Source organism: Homo sapiens, chromosome 5, assembly GCF_000001405.40.
Source record: "Homo sapiens chromosome 5, GRCh38.p14 Primary Assembly".
Lineage (NCBI taxonomy): Eukaryota > Metazoa > Chordata > Mammalia > Primates > Hominidae > Homo > Homo sapiens.
In genome coordinates, this window is record NC_000005.10 from 14,749,720 (window position 1) to 14,773,797 (window position 24,078).

The following is a 24,078-nucleotide window of genomic DNA, read 5'->3' on the forward strand; positions in this document are numbered from 1 at the left end:
TATTTGGAATCAGTCAGCTCACAAAAATGTGCCTAATTATTCTGGCAGTGTAGAAACTGACTACAGAGGTTCTTATTCTCGGAGCTCTCACAGACATCATGTAAACTGTTCAAAAGCATAATCAAAATAAAGGCATGTAAAGAACAAGGGATTCCTAAGACTTCTGTGGCAAAGGTGTGGAATATCTTTAAAGCCTGGCTTTCATTATGCAATTTTGGTTTTGATTGTTCACAAGGGTGAGAGTTACATCATGGAACCATCTTGGTCACTTTATTTCCATTTGCTGGTGGCTAAATGTTAAGAGATGGATTGTTACTGTCAAGACCAATTTGTGGTTGGCCTAGTGATGGGATAACTAGATAGGATTTTACTGACAGTCTGACCTCAGATGGAGGTAAGTGGTCAAAACAATTACTGCTTGATACGACAAAGTAATGTGCGGCCCAAGTAGGGATCAGGGTGAGGTGAGGGGATGAATTCAGGGCTATAGATGCCTTACAGCTAAATGCAGAGAAACCTAATGATGTCTCATACCTATGGGTAGGGAAAATTAGCACACACAGAAATCAGATAATGTTTATACTTACAACAAACAGAATGCTTTGGTCATCTCTATAAGGTTCTCTATCTCATTCCTACTTGTTTCTTATTCAACTTTCAGGGCACAGCAAGATCTACCTCCTCCAAGGAGGCATCTTACACTACATCACTATGTTCCTTCTCCCAGTGTTCGTGGCTCCTATATCCTCATGCAGGTGATGTGCTGTCTCAGATGACTGTTTAATTGTTGCTTCTGTATTGTTCTGATCTGCCAGATGGGATATGATGCTGCTTGAGGGTAGCGACCATATCTTAAAATATTCTGTGTTGCCCTATGGTACCTAACGTTGTGCTTGGTCCCCAGGAGGCACCTGAATAAGGGACTGGGATTGGCCATTGAAGAAAGCATAAACAAAGCCTGGATCCCTGCTGTAAAATCAAACACAATGAAATATAAACTCAAAGGTATCGTGGGTCCTAAAACCTTTGCTGACTGCAGAATAACTTATAAGAGCAAGAAAAACCATGAATGTCGTATCTATTCCTTGGCCACAGATTCTCTGTGCCTCTGTCTCCTCCTATGGGATAAGGAGGCTGGACAGTGACATCTCAGATCACATCCATCTGTTAGAGTTCATTAATCCTCCAACTGTCTTTCCCTGCAGACATCTAGCACTTGGCCTCTGGGTATGACATCCTGGCCAACTTCATGTTTTGATGTCACTGATTTCTCATTTTACATAGAGGTGGAATACAGTTTTATTCTACTCTGAGTCTCAGACAGACTGCTGTTGGGTTGGTAGACGTACCCCCAGCTCCGGGCCACTTCTGTCAGGGATGATGTCGTGAATGTTCTTGTAGTAGCCCAGGCACAGGGTGGTGCAGCGCACAAGTGCGCCCATGTACAAGGAGAGGATCGGGATGAGCAGGGGCTCCCGGCATTCCAGGTGACTGTGAAGCAAAATGGCTACAAAAACAACCTGAGAGAAGGGAGAACGGGAACAGGTCAGAGGGGAGAAGCGGGAACCGACTGACAGAAGCACAGGGGCACGCTCTTGAACCTGAGACAGACCTCTGAGCAAAGATCTTGACTTTTATGCAAACAGAACCAAAAATTGGATGATGACCCAATGTCGCTCTCATGTAATTCATGTGCAGATGTTTGGGATTCACTGGAGGAACATGGATCATTTTGTTATACCCACCATGAAAATTCTTTTAAGCAACTACAAAAATCTTTCAAGGCATCTTTTTTAAGGTTATTACTTTAAAAAAATTTATGCAATATGTTTTCAGGAATCCCTTGGCAATGATTTACTGGAACATATAACTATTCAAATAATGACGGCACAGAGAAGCACTGCATGTGTGCACCAAACCGAGAGATTTTTTGTACCATTGTGTGAAACCCATTAACTTAGTAAAATTTGAAAAACAAAACAACAACAAAAAAACAAACAAAAAAACACCCCTCAAGAATTGCCACTGACATTGGAGGCATTATAAATAATTTCCATTTTACCATTGGTGCTTGGTGATTACTTGCTATTTATGCCAAGGTGGCATTTCAAAGTACTTTGCATGGAATCTATTTACTCATTACCAACTTAATGTAGCCTTTCCCTCTCGAGGCTGGACACTCAGATGTGTATGTAACACACATCTGAGGACTAGGCTACATTTAACAAAGAAAAAAACAGTAGTGATAAATAACATATACAGGAAAATAGACATTAATGTTTATAGGATAGAAGGCACTAAAAATGGGCTGGGTGCCATGGCTCACACCTGTGATCTCAGTGCTTTGGGAGGCTGAGGCTGGAGGACTGTTGGAGACCAGCAGTTCCAGACCAACCTGGGCAACTTAGTGAGACCCCATCTCTGTAAAAGATTTTTAAAAATGAGCCAGGTGTCGTGGTGCACACCCGTAGTCCTAGCTACTTTGGTAGCTGACGTGGGAGGTTCACTTGAGCTCAGGAGTTTGAGGTTACAGTGAGTTTTGATCGTGCCACTGCACTCCAGCCTGGGTGACAGTGAGACCCTATCTCAAAAAAAAGTCACTAAAAATGCTGCCAAAAAACACCAACAGTAATAATTATAAAACAACTTACATTAACATTTAAAATACTAACCTATAAAACTAGAATAGGTTGAAATAACCAGAGTGAGAGAATGAAATTACAATAATGTTTATATCTCTATTCAATGGTACAGTCTCTAAATCAAGCTTAACTGTATTAACCTCCCTGTACTGCAGAAATCAGAGAATCAGCCCAGCCTTTGTCTAGAGTCCTCCTGGGATCCACTCATTCCAAAGACCTCAGAAGCATACTGAGAACAAAAGCAGGACAATGCATATTCCTGAGCTACATCAACCTTAATGGCCAAATACCAATGGAAAAACAAGCTGAAACATGTAAAAACCAGGACTGCAGCGGGGAGAGGGCTGGTGGGAAAGAGTGTGTGACTGAGGAGCGGGTAGTCAACAGAGCAAAGATCAGGAAAGCTGCCTGCTGCGTTTAATGGCAGGAAAGTCATTAGTAAGAATCATCTGGGTGGACTGATGGGGGTGGAAGTCAGCCTCAAGTAGGTAGAGAATGAAAGAGAAGTGAAAAAGACAGTGAGTAGAAGCCACCCTCCCAAGAAGTTTGGCTATAAAGTGATAGAACTGTAGCTAAAGAGTTAGGTGAAATACACAGGAAGCTTCTCGTTGCTGTGTTAACATGGCAGACATGTGAGTGTGACAGGACAAGGGAAACGATGCACGAGAAAGCAGGGAACAGGTTCCTGAGGAAGCAGCATAGGCCAGGACCCAGAGGAGTGGCCCTGGATGGGAGGAGGGACACCTCCTCCCCTACAATGAGAAGAGAATTGGGAGGATGCAGGGTTGGAAAGTAAGTGTGTAGGTTTGTTGGCTGGAAGGTGACGAATTTGGTTGCTGCAGTTGACTCTGTGAGGTGGGAAATGAGGTCTTATGTTGGAAGGTGAGAGGTAGAGAAACTCTCTGAAATAGTTGCTACAGAGTTAGCAGAGGTGAAGGATGAGATTGTGCATTTACAGTTCGATTAGTTTATTCTGTTGTGTAACCTTTTGCAGAAGCACCGCGCAATTGGAGGAAGATGTGTAACATAAGGTTGGTTCAGAGGAATTTTCTCAGAAGGCTGAGATGAAAAGGCAGGAGATAAGGGAATTTACAGGAATGCGGGGGATGTACACATTATGATCTGACCAGCCTTGGGATGTCAGCTGACCTTGAAAGGCGAGGGCTGATGATAGCAGAGGAGTGACAGGATGGAAAGTCCAAAGACAGCAAACAACCTTGACAATTCTCACCTTGATATCAAGCAAGCTAAGAAGGTCCAGATGACCAGGGAACAAAACAAAAACAGCAATATGTTTCCACGAATCCCTTGGCAATGATTGACTGGAACATATCACTGTTAAAATAATGACGGCAAAGAAAAGCACTGCATGGTTGCAACAAACCAAGAGGTTTTTGTATTATTGTGTGAAGCCCATTAACTTAGTAAAATCTGAAAACAAAACAAAACAAAACAAAAAACCCCCCTCGAGAATTGCCATTGAAATTTGAGGCATTATAAATGATTTCCATTTTATCATTGGTGATTGGTGATTATGTGCTATTTATGCCAAGGTGATATTTCAAAGTACTTTGCATGGAATCCATTTGCTCACTACCAACTTAGGTATGTTTTCATACCTAACAAACGTTTTCAGGTAATGAGAGGAAGCCTGAGGGTAAAAGACTTAAAAAGAGAATTTATTCCCCCAGCCAAATTGTGGCAGGAACTCAAGCAACAAGGTTTAAAATAACTACTCCACCAGGCACAGCCTGAAGCCAGATGGCATCTGAACTCGGCTTCCACGCTCCCACTAACCAGATCTGTTTATTCTAAACTTGCAGGCCTTCCCTCAACAGGCAAGGGCCAGGATCAGGTTTAAAATAGAGAAGGAAAATGGCTGTAGGTGTATTGGCAAAGTCTTTTTCAGAGATAGGCTTTTCTTCTTCTGTCCTTGGATGGGTACTATGTTTATTTTAGGCAAAGTTAAGAGTTTTTTTTTTTTTTTTGCCTTTAAAAAAACACACATCTACAAATGTGTGCTCACAAATGCTCACCGACTTGCTGATGCCAGTGTTTGAAATTAGAGAGGCTTACTGAATTTCAAATGAAGTGATTAGAGTGAATAAGGCAGTTTAGTTCATCTCCCATAGGATACAGAAAGTAAGACTGGGACAAAATTCTCTACTAACTCTTAAGAAAATTAACAAAGACATACCAAAGAATGGTGGTTGCTAGTATTGCTAGTATTTACACACACACACACAGTTAGTAGAAATCCATTTAAATTACTTATAATAGTGATCCACGGAGTAAACACGATTAATCTGGAAATTATTGGTCTTCAGGGAAGTACTAACAGTTCAACAGTCGATTATTTCAAGAAGGTGGCTAAGAGAGCAGGGTGTACAAGAAAGGAAAAATGTATGGAAATATTCATAGAATAGAAATGAGACTGGGCGTGGTGGCTCATGCCTGTAATCCCAGCACTTTGGGAGGCCGAGGTGGGCAGATCACCTGAGGTCAGGAGTTTGAGACCAACCTCGCCAATATGAAGAAGCCCCATCTCTACTAAAAATACAAAAATTAGCCAGGCATGGTGGCAGATGCCTATAATCCCAGCTACTCAGGAGGCTGAGGCAGGAGAATCACTTGAACCTGGGTAGTGGAGGTTGCAGTGAGCCGAGATTGTGCCATTCGACAAGAGCGAAACTCTGTCTCAAAAAAAAAAAAAAAAAGACATGAGAATTTGGAAAGGCATTTAGAGATATAGTCTAACCTCTTCCTCTATGAAGAAATCATTCTCCCAAATCCCTGACTGTAGGAACTTAGTCTAATTTATAAATCATAAGAATTCAATCTATTTTTCCACTAAAATTGTTCATGCGCTATCCTTGGTAGAAGAAGAAAGGACAGAAAGCCAGGGCTGAGTGCCAGGGCTCAGAGAATTGGACCCAACAGAAAGTGGGATGTAGGCCTTCTTCTCAGACCGCGTGGAAAGGTAGCTGAATCCACTTCCTGGTTCCTTCTAAATGTGGGGAAGTGACCTGTGAATGGCAGCCCTGCATGGTAACAACAGAGGATTATAAGAACATTGAAGAATAATTCCTAAGAGCCTTCCCTCTAGGACAGAGTGACAGACTTCATAGTGATAGGCCACGCAGAGGGCACCCAGGCAAGTAAACAGTGACCCTAAGACATGCCGAAAGGTACTAGGTATGACTTTATGCTCATCTCATGTGCATGCTCTTTAAAAATAAAGGTCAAAACCCCTTTATTTAAATTTAAATTCTTACAACCCATATTCTAGCAAGATTATACATACTGTTATTACAGGGCATTCCCTTTTCTCATTCATTTAGCAAATATTTATTGAGGTCTCTATGTGATGTAACGGTGCTGGCAAAACCAGGTCGAATGCAGAGTGTACTGCACAGTGAATGAATATAAATCACACATCAGTTACACACGCCAGAAGGGGACTCTGAGGAGCTCTGATTGACACACAGACCATATTTACCTGAGCTATGACATCTGAGATTGAGGCACATCCCACCAGGAAACTGTATTTGTGTTTTAAGAGAATGCCAGCATGGGTCCATGCCTGCCAGAAAGAAAAGAATTTGGCATGAGATACACCTTCAGGATTATGCTGTTTCTGGTTGTTGAGATTTACTGGGCATTCCTGAAATACACTTTATACCCCCTCAAAGCCTTAGCAGCCCAGGTCTGATAAATCTTTGGTTGGTAAAATTACTGTAACTTGATCTGGTGGCTGGCTCCATGTTAGAGTTTACAGTGGAGTGAAGGACTGCACGCAGGTATTTATTTAGTACCAATTGTATGTAGACTAGTGCGCTATTAGGTTTGTATGCCTGGCAGGAAAGCTGAAGGAATACCAAGAATGGAAGAAACACAATCTCTGTCTCTCAAGCGTCTCAGTCCCAAAGTAGCATCCTTCCCACGTGATGCAGATCATAATGAGGGCTCTCATTTGGGTCTGAGTTATTACAGTCATTACCGGTGCTCACTGACTGATTAGGGCCTACTGTTTTCTTGCCTTCAAGTTTGGGCAGGATCTGACCTGACACTTTGGGAGATGAGGAGGAAGATGCTACGAGGGGAGCAGACGAAAAGCCCGAGGAACAGCAGGTCTGGAGAAGGTTTCAAGTTCATGACGGGCTCTGTTTAAGGATCATCCTTCTTACCTTCAAGGTTGATTTGGACTGACACAGAAATGACACTTCATCTGAGCTACGCACAATGAGGCAAGCAGGGTCTATTCCCCAGGTCCATGTCAAGATTTTGTACAGCAACAGCTAATTCCCTGCCCATCTGCAAACACAGCTGTGGGCTGGCTTTGTTGTCTGAAAGCCACCATACAATAAGCTTGCTGGCTTTAAATATTCTCTCTCCAACCAATATATCAGCGCCAAGCTGCCAGGGGTGAGGGGGTGGGGAGGGAGGAGTTGATCTGGTCCTTATAAATGTTCATTATTTTCATTTTTATAAGCCATCTCTTGCTGTTATACCAGGGTCTCTGGGGGAACTTACAGAAGAAACATGGAAGAAAAGAGTACCAATTACAAATGTTCTGGTGTTCTATTTGATTTCAGAAACTCTCTTATGGCAAATAAATATAGCTAAAGGGACATGGAATACCAGGTCCTTAAGAATCTGCAATTCACTTTTACTAACAGTCCTGAGTTCCTGGAATTCACCGTATAACTGTAATTCTTCTATGTGTGTAGATTCCCACTTCAACACAGATGGGAGGACAGACCTCAGAGGAATGACACGGACCTGTCCAGGAAGCTGGGCTTTGACTCTTTAGGGATGTCAGAAAGGCCACCTCCTTCAGTTCTCTAACTGGGCTACCACCATGGGCTAGCTCAGGCACCGCAGGGAAGCCAGTTATGCACTTACATCATGCATCTAACTGCATATAAACTTGAGGTGGGGGTGGTAAAAAAAACTATACAGACTAACATATTTTTAAGTCTCCTTCCAAGAATAATTCGAAATGGAGCCAAAGGAAAGGGTTTACTTTCCAGCATTGGACCTTATTGGAACATATATATATATATATATTTTTTTTTTTTTTTTTTTGCTAAGTCTTTTTTATATTTATAAGACAGCAGAAGAGAATGAAAAGCACTGTTTAAGCACTCCTCAGAATCATGACAAAGAATTTATGGAAGTGGGCAGCCCTGAGCTAATGGGGTGAAGTTGGTTATTAAAATAATGAAACCCTACCAGTATGTTCAACAGATTCTTACTCTAAAACTCTGGGTGTCTGTGCCACACAAGTGGTAAGTTTATCAGAAAGTGATTCTGATCCTTTGATCCTGAGTATATCAGAAAAGAACTGTTTATCTGCATCAAAATTTTCAAATGGGCTTTCCTGCCACCTACCAGAACTTGTGGCAAAATTAAATAAATTGACAAGATGGACTGGTTAAAAGTCAACAGACAATTGGAACCTGAGTACTCTGATGGTGGTATAGCTGCTACGAAGATCAGTCTGCTAATTCCTCAAAAAATCAAAAATCAAATTTCTGTATGATCCAGCAATTCCACTTCTGGGTATATACCCCAAAGAACCAAAAACAAGGACTCAGATATTTGCACACTCACGTTCATAGCAGCGTTAGTCACAAGAACCCAAAGGTGGAAGCAACGCAAGTGTCCATCAGCTGACGAACGGATACACAAGATGTGGCCTAGACATTCACTGGAAAGTGACTCAGCCTTAAAAAGGAAGGAAATTCTGACACCTGCTACTACATTGTTAAACTCTGAAGACACGCTCAGTGAAATACGCCAATTACAAAAGTACAAACGCTGTATGATTCCACTCTTTTGAGGTATCTCAAGTAGTCCAATTTGTAGAGTTACAAAGTAGAATGGAGGTTGCCCAGAGCTGGGGAGGGGGCCGAGGAGGGTTACTGTTGAATTAGGATAGAATCTCAGTTTTGCAAGATGAAGAGTTCTGAAGATTGGTTACACAATAATGTGAATGTACTTCCTGCCATTAAGCTGTACACACAAAAATAGCTAAAATGGTAGATTTTATATTATGTATATTTTACCACCAGTTAAAGAAAAAGAAAGAAAGCCAACGATCTTCTCTACTCACCATTGCGTCCATGAAAGGAAAGGCGGCGAGGTACAGGAAGGCCCTTCTCGTCTTGCTCCCCACCGACTCGTCCACATGGTGCAGTTTATTGATAATGTAGTATCCTAAATCACTATAAGCTGCAAAGTGTCGAAAGGCATATGTGGAAATATTTAGAAAAGGATATCTTTATATTCTTTTTGTTTCAAAAGCTTAAAAACAATTTTAAATGTAGTATTTGTTCGTCATAGAAAAATTAGATAAGCAAATAGAAAAAAATCATCTACAATCTCATCCCTCTACCCAGAGTGGGTCACAGCCAATGAATGCTCTGGGTTCTAATCACCAAGTTCTTTTATTGTTCTGTGTTTTAACGTAAAAACGAGATTGTATTCCACATACTCTTTTGTAAACCATGAACATCTTTCCATGATATACTTCTACATTTTATTTCTTTGAATTCCCTTCAATGAACTGAATTTCTTTTTGAGAGTTTGCTTGGTATCAGCTTGCCCAGTCTCCTATTGCTACACAGTGAGGTGGTTTCCATCATTTTGATACTAGAAAAGAATGCTTGGTGGCTAGGTTTGAAGCTAAATGTTTACACATATTCTTAACTATGTACTAAGAGAAAATTTCTAGATGTTAATATGCCTTTCCATAAAACTTTAAAGCTAGCTTTTTCACACTTGCCAGTTCTTTTATTTCACTTTTTGGGAAGAGGGTGGCAACTTAGGGTATAGTCCTGCACCGCTGGAAAATGACATTGCGGAGGTGCTTTTGTAGTCCTTCCAATATCAGAATTTGTTACCAGTGACTGGAACATAGGCACTCAGCCAGTACGGGCTGAATGAATGCATATGTGTCAAATAGGAATAGGGAAGAAGGAGAAAGGTCTCCTAATGTATTAGTCAGGAATCCTGACAGATATTATTAGCAAAGGTTAAATAAAATATTGAGCTATTTTTTCACCTCATTGATAGAAGTTTAGATTATATATAAAAATAACAGGCCAGGCATGATGGCTCATGCCTGTAATCCCAGTACTTCAGGAGGCTGAGGCAGAAAGATTGCTTAGCCTAAGAGTTTGAGACTAGCCTGGGCAACATAGTGAGACTCTGTTTCTAGCAAAAAAAAAAAATTTAAAAATTAGCCCGGCATGGTGGTACATGCCTGTAGTCCCAGCTACTTGGGAGGTGGAGGCAGGAGGATTGCTTGAGCCCAGGAGTTCAAGGGTACAGTGAGCTATGATCGTGCCACTGTACGTCACCCTGGGTGACAGAGTGAGACCCTGTCTTTATAAGAAAGAAAAGAAAAAAGAAGAGGAGAGGGGAGGGGAGGGGAGGGAAGGGGAGGGAAAAAAAGGAAAGGAAAGGGAAGGGAAGGGAAGGAAAGGGAAGGAAAGAGAAGGAAAGGAAAAGAAAGACAAGAAAATAATAATCTTCAGGTTTTTCACAGTGTCTTACGAGTGTTTTAACAGTAGGTGTGCCTACTATTTTCATTCTCTTACAACTATGGATATTAGAGGTGGGAGTAAGTGGTTTCAAGGTGTGGGAAGCTGGAATGACTACGATCTTCAGAGAGTGAGGTGGGGCAGGTCGGGGAGAGTGCAGGAGGAAAGCTCCTAGTCCTTCCAGGCAGGGTAGAGGTGAACAACCAGAAGGTCAGCTGCCAGGTAAGCAAAGGTGCCAGGTGTGGTAGTAGCTGGGCCATCAGAACCACTGAGGCACCAAGAAGAGAAATCCAAGAGAGGGCATGTCACGTGGCAGAAAGAAGAGAGACCTGGGAAGATGGGATTAGTTATAGCAAGGGACATGGATGGAAGGAGGCAGCTGTGATGTCCCTGTCGTTTGGATCAGAAGCTGTGCAGAGATGAAAAGGGGATTAGTAGAGGTTTGACCTGGGAAGGCAGGGAGGGAGAGCTCCTGCCTGATTTTGCAGCCAGGTGAGAATTGCATTTAGACATGAGCTAAGCTGGCTGAAACACAAAGCCAGAATGAAGATGTTACTTAATCATACAGATGATCTACTTTGGGTGCCGAACTGTGGAAATTTTGTTCAAAGTTTATTGTTGCTGCTGCTGTTTATTTGCACATGTGTTTTCATTCAGTCAACAAATGTTCACTGCGCAGGGATCTGCAAGGAGACCATCCTGACCTTGCCCACATTGCTGTCCCCACACCCACCTCTCAGCTGAGGCCACTGGCAATGGTAAAGGCAGCTGTGCCAGGCGAGTAGAGCAACGAACACAATGCCAAGTGCAAGAGCACAGGGCTGGCTAGGAATAGCTCATGAGCTAAAATCCCCTGGTGAAGGTTACGGTCACTATAAAACACCAGCTGAGGGGACTTGACTGCCATGGTTGAAGCTGGGGACTATGGAATTGGTGAAAGGGCAGTGTTGTAAGCTGAACTATGTCCCTTCAAAATTCAGATGTTGAAATCCTAACCCCTGGCATCTCAGGATGTGACCTTATCTAGCCATAAGGTCACTGCAGATATAACTGGTTAAGATGAGGTCATACTGGAGTAGAGTGGGCTCTCAATCCAATGACTGATGTTCTTATAAAACGGATATTCAGATACAGAGGCAGATGCACACAGGGAGAACTCAGTGTGAAGATGAACGCAGAAACCGGGGTGACTCCTCTACAAGCCCAGGAATGCCAAAGATTGCCAGCAAACACCCAGAAGCTAGGGGAGAGGCCTAGATGACAGTCTTCCTCATATCTCTCAGAAGGAACCGCCCCTGCAACACCTTGACCTCGGACTTCCAGCATCCATAACTGTGAAATGCTCAATTTCTGTTGCTTAAACCACCTGGTTTGTGATACTTTGTTACGGCAGCCCTGGAACACAGGTACAAGTGGCTTCTGAGAGAGGGAGACAGGCTTATTTTCATGTTAAACTCTGGGGTGGCAGGAAGATCAGATGGGACATGTGAGTTTCAGCAGCTGAGAGCAGGGCATGCAGTCTGCATGTAGCGCCCAGAAATAGAGATCAATACACATAAGCTTCTCCCTGCTGAGAAGGAAAAGAAACTCATCTGAGTAAGGGCATCCCCTTTAATTATCAGACCTAGGGATGCACTGAAATGTGACAATGTGTGACAGCAGTCACATCTCACTCCCACCTTGAGTGAATAATGACCTTGAAGCCACTTGCTATGTGCGCTCCAGATGAACTGATGCCAAGTAGCCATAAAATGCCATATGCTGGACACCACAATTCATACCCTATACCGTAAATCAATGAGTATTCCCGTCAAGCAACTTCGTGTCAGACCATTCCTTGTCCCCTTTTGCCTTTTTTTTTTTTTCCTTTGAGACAGAGTCTCGCTCTGTCTCGCCCAGGGTGGAATGCAGTGGCGCAATCTCAGCTCACTGCAACCTCCACCTCCTGGGTTCAAGCAATTCTCCTGTCTCAGCCTCCCAAGTAGCTGGGACTACAGACGTGTGCCACCACACCTAGCTAATTTTGTATTTTTAGTAGAGATGGGGTTTCACCATGTTGGCCAGGCTGGTCTTGAACTCCTGTCCTCAGGTGATCCACCTGCCTCAGCCTCCCAAAGTGCTGGGATTATAGGCGTTAGTCACCGCACCCAGCCCCTTTTGCCTTTAAAAACCTGCTTGTAACAAAGGCCGAAAGGAGCACTCCCCAAGGCCACTGGGAAGTGTGTCCCAGGTGACAATCCTCAATCCTGGCCCAAATAAACTCTCTATATAATTTAACCTCAGTTTCTTAAATATAGCTACTTATTTCAATAGTTTAACAGAAACATCAAAAACAGTGCCTTCATGCAGAGTAACTGGGGTAAACATGTAATATTTATGGGGTCTAAGGACTGCTGGGGCGTTCGCCATCCATTCTCCTGGGGATGAGCCCAGCCCAGCTTTCTGGTTGGGTGAGAAGGTGTCCCCAACTCTTGCCTCCTTCAGCATCCAGGGCTTGTCCTAGCTCCCTTGGTTTCAGAGTACTGTGGGACCTATGAGGCTTGAGGCTGCCTTTGCTTCTTTTAACTTCTTTTTATTTCAGTCTCTTCCTCTTTCAGCTACTCCGGGAGATATTTGGAGGCCAAGGGAAGAAGCTTTTCCTCCCAGATTTTCTAACTTCCATCTACTCTTCCCCTACATGATAGAGGAGTCTGATTATAGCTATAGAGGTTAATTCTACCCTGGGAGCTGTGAGTATAAAATCCCAACAACTGTTTTCACCCACTCTGTTGGGGCGACTCCCTCCCTCCCATGCCCCTGAGCTATTTCCAGCTAGAGCTATTGGGGGGGTGGGGGGGTAATTTGTTTAAAGTGATTTGCATAGAGTCCATAATTACCAGGCTAGCTGCCTTAGCAATATTTAGCAACCTTCAGCTTCTATAAACCGCCTTACCAAGACTGTTCTAAAACAGCTTGTATTCCTTATGAAGAGCAGAACATTACAAAAAAAATTAAACAAGGTTTTTGAACAGATGTAAACAAATTTTATGATATTGCAACAGCAAGAAGACACTGACTTGACCTGTTTACAGGTGGACAGCTTTGACCCTCCTAAACAAGGGACACAGAAAGTGCCCTTCAGATCCACGGGTCCACTGACTTCAGCCAGCCAGGGCCATGGGCTCTTTCTGAATCAGTGGTTCTCAAACCTGTTCATCCAGGAGCTGTTGCAAACCATAAAATGTTAATATGAACCGAAATAAGTCTACACACATTTTTCCACATCCAATAGGCAAATCTGAGAACCATTATTCTAATTCAAATTCCCAAGTCCTCAATGTTTAAAAGTCTCACAGGTACTGTTGTTGACCCACTGTGACCAGCTTGCGAGGCTTTTCACGGGAGCAGGTAATTTCACCCCTGTGCTTCTAGGGTATCATTTCCAAGGTATGTGTGTTTACATGGCTGATAGGCCATATTTAAATCACTTCGATAAATACACATTGAGTGACTTGTATGCATCAGGTACTGCACACTCTAACACAGCTGTGAAGAGGACAGTTTCCTGCATATGGGCTGGGACACAGACATTTAATATCACCCATCTATAATCTATACTAGGCAACACTTGTCCAATGTGGGGGATAGGGGGCATAAATATCACCTAGGTCTTGAAGAGATACCATAAACCCATGCACAATGTAAGTCAAGTAATTGTGAAATTTTAACGCAAGTACAAGAATTCTATCTCACTGGCATCAAGACTTGGTGGAGTGGGGTTCAGAAGAATTTATTGCAGGAGATCTGCTTCTTTCTAGAGAACATTTCTTATTCATGTTTGAATTCTCAGGATCTAGCCCAGTGTGCTGATTGAATAAATGTTGAAATCCATAACCCCCAAAAGAAGTGACTGGGAGGCTGGGCACGGTGGCTTATGCCTGTAATCCCAGCACTTTGGGAGGCCGAGGCGGGTGGATCACCTGAGGTCTGGAGTTCGAGACCAGCCTGGCCAACATAGTGAAACCTCGTCTCTACTAAAAATACAAAAATTAGCTGGGTGAGGTGGCAGGTGCCTGTAATCCCAGCTACTTGGGAGGCTGAGGCAGGAGAATGCCTGAGCCTGGGAGGCGGAGGTTGCAATAACCCAAGATCACACTAATGAACTCTAGCCTGGGTGACAGAACGGAAAATAAATAAATAAATAAAAATAAAAAAAGTGACTGGGATATACTGGTAGCAAAAATATCCCTTGAGTCTTCCCTCCTACTTATATCCCCACTCTTTGTCACATGATTTGGCAGTTCCTCACACCAAAAGTTAGGGTCTATTCCCCTCGCCTTGAATCTGGGCTGGCCAGTGATTTGTTTTGGTCAGTAGTGTGCGGTGGGAGTGATGGTGGGCCCGTTCTGATTCCTGGCCTCAGGGAGCCGTCATGTGTGCTTCTGTCCCTTCACTTGGAGTGTCACCACAGCCATCTAAAAAAGCCCAGGCAATGCTAGTGGAGGATGAGAGACTATGTGGAGGAGAGTTCAGCTGTCCCAACAGAGGCCATCTAGGCTGGCCAGATGTTCGCCAACAAGGAGCCCACCAAGGTCAGCAGAGCGACCTCCTGGCCCTCAGCTGACCATAGAGGCCTGAGCCTAGTCAAGTTCCAAAGATCCGCCCAGCCAGCCTGCAGTCTTGCAAACAAAAATAAATGCTTGTGTTTTGAGCCACTGAGGATCGGGGTGGTTTTTTACACGACAATAAATTGTGAGACTATACTGGCACTGTCTGTTCGCTCCCAGCACCCTCGTTGGTTTAAATTATGGCAAATTATACTAATTCACCCTTTATAGAGCTGGTTAATAACCCATGAATAATGGGAAAGTTTGAAAAGAGAAGTCTGGCAAACAGAACTGGTCCAGAAATTATTCCAATGGCTCACTGGAAGAGCACAGGAACCTGCAGTTTTGTTCCCCTGAATTCTGCTGACTACCCAGGAAGCTTCAGAACATGGCAAGGGCCTTACAGGTTACTGTCAAGAATAAACGTGTAAAGAAAGTTAAAATCCACAGCAGCGGTTTCGACATCTTCGTGAATTAGGAGGTTAGGCAATACTAATTTCCACGCACGTGAAATTAATTTGGACCCAAATGGAACCAAATGCAAGGTCAGCACGCTTTCCTCCATGCAGCACAACCACTGGCCTAAATGAAGGTGTGGTGATGGCAAACCCCGGGCTCTGTACTCTTCGTTTTTGTTTTGTAACTTAATCTAGCAGGACAACGCAGTTTTAAAAAATGGTGTCTCATACATGGGTCCATGACAGAAGTCGTGGCTATGGTTAAGCTAAAAAAGAGATACTTGCAGCTGTTCAACAAGGGCCAAGAAATACTCCCAAGGCTTGTGCAATTTGGGTATCTAGAGCCAGGCTATGGGTGTGCATAGTATGGACAGTAACTCTTGTCCAGTGGATCTTCTAGACTTCAACTCTCTCAGTCCAACACAATTCCAAGTGTCTGCTCTATTGGCTCATTGCACAAGGTTTGCCTGGGTGGGAAGAGTTGCTGGGCACATTCTCTGGGGCCATCTTTCCCGCACAATCTCCACCAAGCATTCCCAGGGAAGTGTCTGAGTGGTCAGTGGTATCTAACCCAGCCTTGTCTGGGGAAATCCATTACCAAGCACAAAGTTCTCAAAGATGGGAGAATGCCTAGCTCAATAGCGGGGTCAAGAAAAAAAAAAGAAAAGAAATGTAAGGAAAAAGAATTCCTTAACTACAGTAAATCTAATGAAAAGGACCTAGTAGAAGGTTCTTTCCTTTATTGGGGCAAACCCAGTGAATGAGGGATGACACTACAAAAGCTTTTAGTGCTCTTTGACCTGAGCCTGTCTCAATCATCCTGCTGCGACCCATTAACTGATGCACAGAGGGGACACTGCGTTAGTGAAAGTGAGAAGCTACATCTGCAACTGATTTTTCAGAGCTGGCAATGTCCACATTTGAAATCCCTTCTAAGTGAAGAAGACCCTCCAGGGATTGGTAAATTATTAGTAAATAGTGAAAAGTATGAAGTGTCAAAGTTCATCCAGACTGGGGGAAAAAAGTCTAAGATAGAGAACATCACGTTGGGATGATTTTAGATGGCTATAGCAAAATATTCATTATAGCGCACAGGGCAAATTCTTGACTCCATTTTGTATCAAAGATAAGGAAAAATTAGACAGTGTTGTGCTGGCCAGGTGTGGTGGCTCATGCCTGTAATCCCAGCACTTTGGGAGGCTCAGGTAGGCAGATCGCTTGAACTCAGGAATTCAAGACCAGCCTGGGCAACATGGCAAAACCCTATCTCTACAAAAAAAAAATATAAAAATTAGCCAGATGTGGTGGCATGCATCTGTAGTCCCAGCTACTCAAGAGGCTGAGGTGGGAGAATTGATTGAGCCCACGAGTTCAAGGTTGCGGTTAGTTGTGATCACACCACTGCACTCCTGGCTGGGCAGCAGAGCAAGACTCTGTCTCAAAAACAAACAAACAAACAAACAAACTGAAGAAAAGTGCTGAAATGCAATTCATCCTTCAGAGACGGTTAAGAAATGACTCAATCCATGAGGCCTGTCCCAACCCCAAAAAGAAAGAATCTCTTCCTGCTCTATGCTCTCACATGTTGAAAATAAATGCCTTTGAAAAATTAGAAGAACTTGCTAAAAGGAAATAAATTCATTAAGGTGATGGGAAACTAGCACTTAAAGAAATGTTGAAGGCAATTCAACTACTTTTGCCTGGACAAAAGAATAGAAAGAAATTAGTTTAAACCTAGATGTATCTGATTTATATTCCCACTCTGTGAATTCAGCATGTTGAATTTATAATACAAAGCTTCCTGTACTTACTGTAGGCCCCACCCAGGAGCTGTACATGTAGGGAATATATGCTCATTTCAATATCAGCCCAAGCAAATATAATCAGGAAGACTGCTTGAAATCATACAATGGCTTTTCGAGTCAAATATACTTGGAGTATTTCCTTTTCTGTTTTATCTATGTCAGTGTTCCCCTGTCACACACATAGTTATCCAGGAGCTGACTGCTGAAGTAGAAATGTAAGTAGCTGTTTTCAGCATTACTAGGAAATGAAAATGGGTGTAAGCGTCAAATATAGGTGATGCATAGAGACTGCCATTGGAAGGGCAACGTTCAATGACATAGGAAAGTGGTGGGAAGAATGGCTGGGGGGTGGAGAGAGAGCAACATCCCATCATGGAGCTTGTGGCCACGATTATGGGAAACAAAATGGGCAGGATCTGGATATAGAAAAGCTTACAGGATTACTAAAAACAGAGGCAGAAAGGTGAACAAAGATGCCCGACGTAGCAGATGGCAAAGGCAAGAGAGCAGCTAAAGACTTAGGCAGAAAATGGTAAGGAGGCCAACACTCTAGAAAAGGGTACATCATTAAGATCTGATTTTCAGATGTTCAAAAGAAATTCATATGTGCTTTCGTAGCAACTGTGGAAAACATTTGTTTGGTGGATGGAAAAATGCTGTGATTGCAAAAGTATAAAAACTAATAATGATTATTAAATATATATGAGATACAGAAAACCATTTTGGTTTAAATTTAAAATTTTATAATTCTATTTTAAAATTGAAAAACTAAAATGACATTGATTTTTATTTTAATGACCACATTTTCTTCCCGACAATTGCAATAACACGGGATGCTTAGCTTTTCTCTTCCAGAATTACTGACAACTGATAATTAGCTGTTTAGTCCCAAAGTTTCATCCAACCATGGCTAAATAGGGAATGTTGGATTATTTATAAGTCCAAGTAAAAAAAGAGCTAGTAACAAAGGGAACTCATTTGCTTATTTAAGGAAGCCCCTTATTTTACAAAATATATGGCTTTTTTTTTTCCCAAATACTGTACATGTATTCTTTGAAAATGGCTCAGGTCAAATGTAGCAGAAATTTACTTCAAATACAAGTACATGTGCAAATACTCAGTCCACAGTTAGCCTTCAGGGCATAAACTGAGGAAATGAGAGGCAGCTCCTCTTTACTCCATGCCCTGAAGCTCTGAGCACAAATTAAAGGATCAATATCAACGCTTTGGCTGAATGTCTGGTCCATCAGCAGATGCGCTCTCTTCCACAATGTTCTTAGCACAAAATTTTATGTCACATTAAAAAGGAAAACCACAAAGGCCTTACCTTATTTACTTTCAGATTCGCAGTTATGTGAGTAAGCATTAGCTGCCATGCAAACACACTGTAAACGGTCTGGGTTAATCTTTTGGTTCCTTTATTCACCACTGACAGTCACGCGTCTTAAACAATCAGTAACAATTTTAAGGTACACAATGGGTTTATGAAGTGTCATTCACAGTGTTTTATGTAACTGGTTTCAGTAGAGGTACCACTCAATTTTTATGCCAGGTAAGCAAAGCTGTTTTAAAGCCACGACGGAAGTCATGCCCTGAAGGCTTTATCCCCACCAAGAAAGCAGCAGCAGAACTCCAGCCCTGAAGGAGAGCTGCTTTTCCAGGGTCTTGGTTAAACTGGAGGCCAGTCACTGTATGTATGATACAGCTTTCCTGTTGTTTCATGGAAAGAATGCTATCACAAGAGCATTTAGTCTTGTCTTTGAATAAAATAGAATAAGATCCTAGAACAAATTAATAAATAGAACAATCTGTCATTTGTTCTCACTGCTAATAAGCATTAATTCTAAATAAGTCATTCTATTTTTATTCTTAAGATTTAATGACCCAGTACAATGACGCACACATATCTCTAACGAAAGCACCTGCTATTTTATTGGCCTTACCAAATGTTATTCCTAGATGTAATCGCCTACTAATGAAATCACTGCTTTTCACTTTGGGAATCAGAGACACAAAACTACAGCTCCCCAGAAAAAACACATTATTGTCTTAAGCTAGGAGCACAAGCGCTTTCCTTCTATCCCCTGAAAATTTCATAAGAAACATTTGATAATTAGTGAAGAAACCACTTATCTCAATAAATACATTTAAATCAATGAAAAGGAATAAGAAATTGCCAAAGCTAGATTCGTCAGTGGCGGTCGGCGGCCTCACCTATCAGTGTGTGAAAGACGGCAGCGATGGCCCCTGCCACCACCATACACAGGACGGCTTTGGTCCTGTCTCTCTTGCTGTTCACAAACACCAGGCCCACATTTTTGAAGTCACTCATGGGACCCGTGAAGAACTTCATGAGGGAGTACGCCAGCCCGTAGCTGGCCAGCATCTCGACTGCATCCTCCTTGACAGCAGCAATGCCCCGGTTCAAGGCCTGGGAAGGGGGAAAAAAACCCACAAGCATTAGAAATGTCATCTCTTCTCTGGGGAATCATACCTCTAAGATGAAATTCAGCAGATCACGTTTCTATAGAAACACTAAGTAGCTTATAGGGTGCATCTCATGTAATTGGATAAAGGTGATTGGTTTTCATTTTCATCTACATCAGCTTCAGTTTGAGTTTCTTTTTGTGAAGGAGATACCTGACCACTGCAGTTAAAATAATAGCAAAACACCAACAAATATTTTATGCTAATATTGAAAAATAATTCTAAGAAGTTTTGGTTAAAAGTTGATTTTTTTAAAAAAACAAAAATGTTAAATTTTGTTTGCAGGCTGAATTGACATAATGGCAAGAGACATTCTGAAAACGAGTCTAACAGTTTATATCAAGGGGATGGGTTCTTTTTTCTTTAAAGAAGGGGTGGTGTGTGTGTGTGTGTGTGTTCATGTGTGCACATGTAATCTTAAATACTGTGTATGTGTTATGTATTCTTCATAGCAGAGCTCTATGCTATGAAAAAAGGTACTGAAAGAATTTATTATATTCTTCATTCATGCATGTTGTTTACCTGATTCCTACTATATTTTAACCTGAAATACATTCCTGAGCTCTACACAGACAAATATGAAAAGAACACCTTTAGACTAAAAAATAAATGTTTTTGGATAATGGTTGTGCAGGAAGATGCGGTTGTAAAATACCCTGACTACTTTAACCATCCTCCAAGAGAGACGCTCTTAGGCACTGCAGGCCTTGGTGGGATGGTACTTCCAAACTAAATTTCCCACCCCGAAGACAAATCAGTAACAGCAGACCAGTGGGAATGGATGTCCAGGTAGAGAGAGCTTTCTGACTAAAATGCCTCTAGAACATTGCATCTGTCATTAGGAACAGGAAACTAAGCAGAAGAGTCAGCTTTCTGTATAGTTATATATTTTTAGAAAATAGACTGTTTTTAAGGCAGTTTTAGGTTCACAGTAAAATTGAGCAGAAAGTACAGAGCATTCCCATATATCCTTTGCCCCCCACAAACACGGAGCCTCCCCTGCTATCAACATCCCACGCCAGAGTGGTACATGCCTTACAATCAATGAATCTACACGGACACATCATTATTACTCAAAGACCAGACAGTAGTCCCCCCTTATCCTTAGGGGATACATTCTAAGACCCCCAGTGAATGCCTGAAACCATGGAAAGTACCTATGTTTTTTCCTATATATACTATGTTTTTTCCTATATATACATACCTATGAGAAAGTTTAATTTATAAATTAGGCACAGTAAGAGATTAACAACAATAATAATCAAACAGAATAATTATTAACAATATATTATAATAAAAGTTTTATCAATGTGGTCTTTCTCTCAAAATATCTTACTGTACTCCTTGTGATGAGGAAGAGATGAAGCAAGATGGTGAGAGATTTCATTACACTACTCGGAATGGCATGCAATTTAAAACTTATGAATTGTTTATTTCTGGAACTTTCCATTTAATATTTCTGAACCTTGGTCAACCATGGGTAACTGTAACCATGGATAGTAAAACTGTGGATAGGGGTGACTAGTGTAATGTAGTTTACATTAGGGCTTACTCTTGGTATATTGTACATTCTGTGGATTCTGACAAATGCAGAATGACATATATCCACAACATATTTTTAAGAAAAAAGATATGCTAAAGTCTTGGCCCTGCCATTTGTCACTCATCCAATAGAGACACAATCACATTCATAGAATTCATATTCAGTCTCTGCTATGTAAACTGAAAGAAGAAATGAAAGAAATGCACTTTTCCTGTCTATTTCCTATTTCTATTAATCAAGATAGCTGTTGATAATTTTCCCTACAAATATATGGTTATAGCCACAGTCTGAGAGCTGCCTTGCTATACTGGGTAGAGCTAATGTCAACAATACCAAAGGAGCCAACGGGTGCTTGAAAGAGGAAAGACTGAATACAACAAAAGATTCAAGAACTAATCTTCAAACATATATAAGAATCATACTACATTATGACAAAACAAAGTAAACTCAATCCACCATTGTGTTTCACTGAATCTGATACTATAGACTGTAAGTGTATGGCAGACACATCTGATAGCAATAACTTCAGCATACCCTGAGAATGACCCTGCATGGTAGATGCACCTGATAAGAATAACAACTTAAACATACTCCAAGAATGCTGACACAGCTGATCTACATAAACTGCATGCTTTTTACAAATGGTAGCAGCTCTCCTGTCCGGCCTGCCACCGCTGGACTTCCCTGTATGTAAGTCCCCTCAGTAAACAGGGTTTAGGTCTCATTCACTGGCTCTGGGTCGCTTCTTTGGCCTCTTGAACATGGTGCCATCCCTATTGAAGTCAATATGGGTCTGATACGACAGTAAGGTACATTATTAGTTATACCACTAAGAAAGAAAGTGTTCCAGCTGGGTGCGGTGGCTCACTTCTGTAATCCCAGCACTTGTGGAGGCTGAGATGGGCAGATCCCTTGAGGACAGGAGTTCAAGACAAGCCTGGCCAACATGGTGAAACCCCGTCTCTACTAAAAATACAAAAATTAGCTGGACATGATGGTGTGCACCTATAATCCCAGCTACTCGGGAGGCTGAGAGTCACTTGAACCCGGGAGGTGGAGGTTGCGATGAGCTGAGATCATGTCACTGCACTCCAGTCTGGGCAACAGAGTGAGACTGTGTCTCAAAAAAAGAAAAAAAAAAAAAAAAAAAAAAAAAACCAAAACAAAACAAAACAAAAAACCGTTCCCAATTATAATTGGATGTCATTGATTGTAAGATGTATCCAGATTTCAGAGTTACTAAAATATGGAGGTGGAAGGAGTGTGCCTCAGAATCTATGAAAGGAGGTATTTCATGTTACACTTCAAGTTATTCCTTGGTTTCAAGGGCTGATCTAGGCTGTGGTCCCTACATGTAATCCAGTGTCACAGACTCTGGCAGAAGCACAGGCAGAGCTACTCGGCAAAACCAGAGGGCTTCACGTTCTGTGCCTTTGTTTCATTCCTTTACCAGGAGACACAGCTGGCTGGCAGAATGAAAACTTAAGAGTTGACATTCTCTGCAAAGCACTGTTAGGAAGAAATGTATTTACAGGAAAATATCAATGTGAAATATAATTTTTAGAAAAATCTAGAATAAAAATGTATGCTAGCCGTAGGAACTCATTATCATTTTTCTGACTCGGTATTATATAAGCTAGCTTCTGATAATTGTTTCCAATTTTATCTCTAATTGTTTTCCTTTTTTCCACTAATAACGGTGAAAACTTCCATAAGAACCTTCTTAGCCTCTGAGAGCACACCTGCCATGATGCCTTTCTTAGAAACAAATTTTCCCTGATGGAATACATTAACACCCTAAAACAAAATAAAAATCAAAAAGCTCCTTTATAACAAGTGCCTGTGCTCAACAAACATCTCTAGCCTAAGGCCTCCTCCTATCTATGTGCGAAACTCACCACTTGACAATTTACCCAATTAATTCCCTTTGGCCTTCTGTAGGGGACACTACTGGTGTCTCACCCAGATCCCCTATCCTTTACCTGGCAGTGGACCCATCCCCGGATGTTGGGAATTGGCCACTAATGGCTCACAGCTGTCTTCTTGCCAGGGAGACCTACTCCCAGCCATTATGCATCGGTGAAACTCATCTGATGCATCCACCATAGTTCCAGTCAGCACGAAGCCACTGGCTGATTTTATACACTGGGGTGTGTAAGATCAGTGTCCCTGCCTCCAAGTGGGACCACTGTGGTACAATTCATGCTCCAGAGTTCTCCCTGGGATCAGGGTGAAGCCAGTCTCCAGTGGGGACCACATCCTCTATGCACTTTTCCCCACCACCTATCCTGCTTCCTCCCACACAGGTTTTGTTTCTAGAGAACTCCATTTAGGACAGCTTCTAATCATCTATTTCTCAGACATCAACAATAGCATGTGGTTTGTTCCTTCTCTTTCCCATCCTTCCCAAAATCTAGGATTGTCAATTGTTTACTTGTGCTTATTGCTCGAATGTGTTAATCTTGGATGGTATCTATTATTTAGCAAAAATTTAAAAGCATCTCATAGGGCACCTAAATAATGGAGGACTAGACATTTTATGTGTCTTCTTGGCAAAGCATTCTTTTTTTTTTTTTTTTTTTTTTTTTGCTAAAAACACACCAGCCTGGGCTGAGGCATCCACTGAAATGCCTTCTATTTCCACCAACAGTTCCCGGACTTGAGTCCTCAAGCCAGTGCTGAGGCAGGTGGGAAGAGAGAGGGCCCAGGTAATGATAGCTCTGTCAGTGAGACAAAGTGAGAAAGTTTCATTTAGCCCAACAATTATGGTAATTTGAGGAAAGAACACAGGGTTTAAAGCCATGCAGACTTGAGTTGGAATCTGCTTCTATCACTTAAGCGCTGAGTGGCCTTGGCTAAAATACTTATTCTCCCTAAAATAACCCAACTGATTTGAGAAGCAAGGTAGGTAGTGCACAGGGCACGAAGCAGTGGCTGGCTGACAGGCGCTTGAAAGCAAGGATTTTTGCCGCTTTTGTTTACTGCTGTTCACCTACCCCCTTGTTGC

At 42.1% G+C, this 24,078-nt stretch overlaps 1 protein-coding gene across 3 annotated transcripts in view; it reads right to left on the minus strand.

Moving 5' to 3' along the window:
* ANKH (ANKH inorganic pyrophosphate transport regulator) overlaps positions 1-24,078 on the minus strand; it is a 166,979-nt gene that overhangs the window by 44,920 nt on the left and 97,981 nt on the right. For all 3 annotated transcript variants that reach the window (NM_054027.6, XM_017009644.3, XM_011514067.2), the window contains exons 2-5: positions 19,256-19,472; positions 8,761-8,879; positions 6,142-6,225; positions 1,350-1,520 (exon numbers count right to left, since the gene is read on the minus strand). In NM_054027.6, the coding sequence (NP_473368.1) occupies positions 1,350-1,520; positions 6,142-6,225; positions 8,761-8,879; positions 19,256-19,472 (591 nt within the window). The remainder of the gene's footprint in view (positions 1-1,349; positions 1,521-6,141; positions 6,226-8,760; positions 8,880-19,255; positions 19,473-24,078) is intronic.